The 6133-nt window shown below is 33.5% G+C and overlaps 1 protein-coding gene across 9 annotated transcripts in view; it reads left to right on the top strand.

Moving 5' to 3' along the window:
* Positions 1–6133, top strand: part of THEMIS (thymocyte selection associated) — a 221968-nt gene that overhangs the window by 158722 nt on the left and 57113 nt on the right. The window lies entirely within an intron of this gene.

Genomic DNA, 6133 nt, shown 5'->3' with positions numbered 1-6133 from the left:
AAGGAAGGAAGGAAGGAGGGAGGGAGGGAGGGAGGGAGGGAGGGAAGGAGGGAAGGAATGAGGAAAGGAGGGAAAGAAAGGAGGGAAGGAAGGAAGGAAAGAAGGAAGAAAGAAGAAAAGGAAAATAAACAACATACGAAAAACCTTTTAAATAATCCTGTGAAGAGGGAGTGGTGACTTGGACTAGGGATGTAGCGATAGATGTGATGAGATGTGGTTACATGCTGGATGTGTTTGAAGACAGAGTCAACGTAATTCAATGATGAATATATGTGAGATAAAGTGTTAAGGTTGACTCTAAGGTTATTAACATGTGCAGCTGGGAGAACAAATTTTCCACTTACTGCGATGAGGAAGACTGGTGTGGAAATATGTTTGAGGAGAAGTGAATAATTAAGTTTTGGAAATATTAAATTTGAAATTAAACATTCATACCCTTTGAACACCCAACTTCACCCCTTGGAGGGTAGTTGAATATATTCAATTTATATGAGTCCAGTGATTAGGGAAGAGGTTACAGTCAGAGATGTATATTTTGGTGTCATCAGCCTACATATTTGTGAATATGGACTGAGCAAACCTCAAAATTTACCTATAAGTGTTATTCATTGATTAATTTGCTTAACATTTTTGAGAGCATTGTGCTGTGTTCTAAAAGTTTAGTATATGCAATTTTCTTATAATCAAGCATCTTTATTTAAAAGTATTACTTCATTCCCCTGTATAAATTTATGCTTAAATAGCAAACTCCTCTTCTTTACTAATTAAAATAAAGGTACTCTTCTTGAGTTCTGAAAACACAACCAATTTCTGTATGTAATACACAGCCATTTCAAAATAGAATATCTAATATGACTGTCTTGTAATATAATTCTTTCCAGACTTCTTGACATGTCTAGCATTGAGTTCTGCTGGTTAACTATTTTGTAAGTTCATAAATTGTGCATAATACTGCACCAATTACCTAAGTAACTGGCTTAAATTACACAATTTTGGACTCAAAAGTCTTGTAAACTTTTATTATAATTCTGATTGTGTTACTTGCCCAACAAAGAAACAGTTTCTTTTTCACAAAATGATCCAATAATTCTTTCTTTCTTTCATGTGATTACCTGTATCACCTGTAGTTCGTTTATTCTTCTACATACTCTAAACATTTTTGTATTAAATCACACAATTAGAAATCTTGATATGCATACACATATTTATATAGTTGCCTTCTTGTGAAAGATCTTTTACTTTTTTCAACTTTAATGTTACACCTTTAGCTTACATTAAGTCACTTTTTTATCTTTCTGCTATAGGGAATTTGACATTTCTGCCTTTCTTTTTCCATTCAAGACATATTTCATTCAAGAAATATGTATTGGGCACCTATGAGGCATTAGGGCTATTCTTTTACTGTAGTATTAAATATTTATAATATATATTATATATGTTATATATATAATATATATTTATTATAAGGTAATTGTTAAGGAATGGGTTTTTCATTATTACAAGGTATTTTCATAAATTCTTCCAGTTAAGCCATGTTTCTCTAAGAAATTGATCCGTTTGTGGGTTTAAGTGTAGAAATTGATTATGTATTTCCTCTTTTGGGATACTAGGAAGTTCAGAACCCAATTTACAGTCCAACTCTATCAACCATAAAACATCTTATGATTTGATATTTGTATACTCCCTCCTTTTAAATTACATCTTATTTTTATTCTATTCTTAATTCTTTATTTTTGTAATCTGTTAATTTTATGTATAATTTTTAACCAGTTCAAATCTCTTTTGTTATGAACATGTATAAGTATATAAATATATATTGTTATATACATATATGTGTATTTGTATATAACATATATCTATGTGTGTGGGTGTGTGTATATATACATATTCGTATGTGAATATAATTTATCTATCTATATTTATGTATGTATGTACCTATCAATCTATAGAGAATAATTATTGTCTAAATATGTACTGCCCTTTATTACCTGATCGCTCTCTACCAGGTAATTCCTGAAGATAATATTCTTAGCTATACTGATATTAGACTTGTCTATATGACTTGACTTGGCCAATAAAATGTGATATATGGGCCGGGCATGGTGGTTCATGCCTGTAATCCCAGCACTTTGGGAGGCCGAGGCGGGCCAATCACGAGGTCAGGAGATCGAGACCATCCTGGCTAACAAGGTGAAACCCCGTCTCTACTAAAAAATACGAAAATCTAGCCGGGCGTGGTGGCGGGCGCCTGTAGTCCCAGCTAATCGGGAGGCTGAGGCAGGAGAATGGCGTGAACCCGGGAGGCAGAGCTTGCAGTGAGCCGAGATAGCGCCACTGCACTCCAGCCTGGGCGACAAAGCGAGACTCCGTCTCAAAAAAGAAAAAAAAAAAAGTGACATGTGTGACATGTATCACTTTCACTTACATATATATATATGTAAATATAGTCTACGTCTATAGCTATCTGCCATTTATGTATGCACGGGTGAATTAAATTCTTTTTACATATAAAGTACTTAAACATATTAGTATCTCTAGAGATTATCACATTTTTAGTACATTTTTGTCTATTCAAGAAAAAATTTGTATATTTACCCAAGGCTTAGATACATTGCCAGTACTTCAACAATACTTGCAGAAATCCGTGGCATAATACGCTGTAGATGGTGACTAATACGGCCACTAGCCACTTGGGGCTTCTAACATTTAAATTAGCTAAAATTAAAATTTTACTTATTTATTTGAACTAGTTACGTTTCAAGAGTTTAATGACCACATGTGGCTAGTGTAATGGAGAAACAGATATAGAACATTTTTATCGTCAGAGAAAGTTCTACTGAAAAACTTTATTATGGAATAAAAGAATTGTTTTTTTACTTGAAGTACAGATATTTTTGATTTTCTACTTTTTTCTAAAATAAGTGATTTTTTATTATGTACAATGCTAATTTATTATTTTTGCCACCAAATCACAAATTGACAGAAATGTTCTAATGAGAAAATATATAAATTGAAAAGTCATAAGTTGTCCATTTATCAGAAAAAACAATCCCAGATTAATTGTGGTAGCATTTTTTATTAGGATATAAATAATTGGCTGGCAAACTAGTTGCATTTTGGAGTTCAAATTGACATTACTGCAGCCTCATAAAAGCTAAGCAATGAACCACTCTGATGAAACTCACTTTTGGAATTAATTTGACCTGCATATTAAAATACTAGAAAGACGTAATCCTTCTAGGCTGTATTTCTTCAGCTATGTACAGTAGCTGTCATATTCGTAAACAGCTAATAATTAGTGAAAAATAATAGATGATGCAGCTGAGTGACAGAGGACTTTCAGGAAAAAAAAGCTTCAGTTCAAAGTACCAAAATGGTTTCTGTAATGGTTTTTTACATTGATCGTTTTCATCACTTTATTATTATCCTATCAAAAGTAGCGTTTAGAGGAAATATGTATACAGCCACCTTGAATAAAATTGAATTTGGTCATGGAAGCATTCTGTTAGAGACTATCATACAAACTACTGTTTCCATCTTTTTTGCTGCTGCAAAAAAGTGAAATTGATTAGAAATGACATTAGGTATAGTAAAATTGGCCCATGATTTTATAGTTGAATTTGTGGCATTGATCTACAGATTAAGGAGATGTTTGTGTTCTACCGTTTTTACCTGACAGCCTTGTATAATTATACTTGTAACATAATGCAAATGAGTACTTACTTGCATACCAATACTTTTACATGTAGATTTTTAGAAAATTAAACAGTGTTAAAATAAAATTTCTGGGTTTTTTGGTTTTGGGTTTTTTGTTTTGTTTTGTTTTTTGTTTTTTGTGTTTTTTTTTGAGATGGAGTCTCACTCTGTGGCCCAGGCTGGAGTGCGGTGGTGTGATCTCAGCTGACTGCAATTTCTGCCTCCTGGGTTCAAGCAATTCTTCTTTCTCAGTCTCCTGAGTAGCTGGGAGTACAGCCATGCACCACCATGCTGGGCTAATTTTTGTATTTTTAGTAGAGACAGGGTTTCTCCATTTTGGCCAGGCTGGTCTTGAACTCCTGACCTCAAGTGATCTGCCCGCCTCCCAAAGTGCTGGTGTCACAAGTGTGAGCCACTGCGTTCAACTGAAATTCCTAATTTTTTAAAGACCATGATGATAAACCCTTTTTTATAAAAACAAAAAGGTTGCTAAATGACACACTTTGATTACATGGATCCTCTTCTGTGCTTGAATGGGTTAGGGTTGAAAATTGCTAAAGTATGGAGAATGAGAATGTTGCTCTTTTCTACTGTTACTTTAATTGTGCAAAATGTTTATACAACACAGAATTAAAACTTATAGTAAAGTTGATAGCAAAATAAAAAAAATCTTTAAAAATGATGCCTTGATATGCCAGATGGTTACTTCAAGCATTCTGTAGGGTAATTTAAAAAAAAATGTATATTTTGGATCAAAATGTGAAATGTTAACCATTTTATTGGAAGCTTCACAATTCTTGTTCATTGATTCTTCTGTTGTTTTCTCAGCAGAAATCCAAAGCTTCTTTAGGCTGGGAAGCCAAACTAACCAATCCCTAACAAGAACTTTTAATTTAAAAGTATTTAAGCATTTTTTAAATACAGGGATTCAATGCCTAGCATGGGCTGTAGCCACCAATTTTGTCTTCAAATCTAATCTATGATGATGACACTAAAGCTAGATATAGTGCAAGAGCATTATATTATTTTGGAACACGTGTTCTGTAGATGCTGGCGGTTTTCAAAAAAAGATGCCTTGTATACAGCAGACCAAGATTTTTATTTAAAGAATTTACCCTAATAATAAGCTGCCAAATAGTTTTTAAAGGAGGGTTTAAAAAAAAAAGAATGAATGTGACGGAGCTTTATGCTAATTCTTGTCTGATTTCTTGGGAAAGTTCTCCAATGCATTGCAATAATTTCTAGAAATGCAACCTTCTGTACATATTTTGTGTGAATATTATGAATATCCATTAAATGATCAATAGATAATTTATAGACAGTTTATTCATTGAACCGTTGCCACCATTCACCCTTTGCTCATCTGTTTTTATTGTCTCCACTGCTGTCCCCAAATCTCTTTGTAGCCTGATACCCAGAATGCATTGCTGTCCTCCTTTTTCCTTATATTAACTCCTCTTTTTTATACCTCTATCATGACTCTTAGGGTTATTTTCTCATTAATTTAAGGCAATTCCCTAACAACTATTATTAGTTTGAAGATGAGCACATGATCCAAGTTTGCCCTGTGAAACCGAATGGAGGAAATTATATTATTTCATCGAGGGAGAGTTTCCCTGTGTTCCAGTGTATATGATCAAAGAAGCATTTTGCTGAGTTGTTTCTGGTAGCAATCTTGTGACTATGAGAGGAATTGACCAATGGACAAAACTGTCATGCCAAGAATGGCAGAGTGGTGAGAGAGTAAGAATCTGGGTCCATCACAGTATCATCAGGCCACAGCAGCCTGAGTTTCAACTGTAAACATATTTCACAATTTGACCATAAGAATTATGTACTAAATATGAGTTCGTTTGAAAATATTATTTGTGTTAAAGCTCAGCTACATTAAAGCAACTGCTGTGGAAGAGGCTGGAAACCTAGACACATGGTTGAGAATGCTTTGTAGAAAAAGTCTCCAAAAGCCCTTTATCCAAATGTAGAAATACAACCCTTTTGTAAGTTGTGACTACTTGTATAATGTATGTTTTGTAAAGCATTTAAAAAATGTGAAATAAATATTAAGCAACTTCTTTAAGATAATTTATTGAGGTATGATTGACATGTAAAAATCTGCACATATTCAATGTATACAGCTCAATGAGTTGAGGATAAGTATAAACCCATAAAACCATCACCACCATTAAGGCCATAGATATATATTTGTCACTTCCCAAAGTTTCTTCTGGCCTCTATATTATTATTATCATCATCATCATCATCATTTATTGTTGTTATTATTATTATAAGATCTATCCTCTTAGAAATTTTTAAATATAAGAATACAGTGTTGTTAGCTATAGGCACTATGTTGTACAGTAGACCTTCAGAACATAACTTGCAAAATGAAACTTTGTATCCTTTGACCACCACCTCCCCACTTCACCCTCCCATCAGC

Source organism: Homo sapiens, chromosome 6 (assembly GCF_000001405.40).
Source record: "Homo sapiens chromosome 6, GRCh38.p14 Primary Assembly".
In the NCBI taxonomy this organism is placed as follows: domain Eukaryota; kingdom Metazoa; phylum Chordata; class Mammalia; order Primates; family Hominidae; genus Homo; species Homo sapiens.
This window is presented reverse-complemented; position numbering and strand designations above follow the sequence as displayed.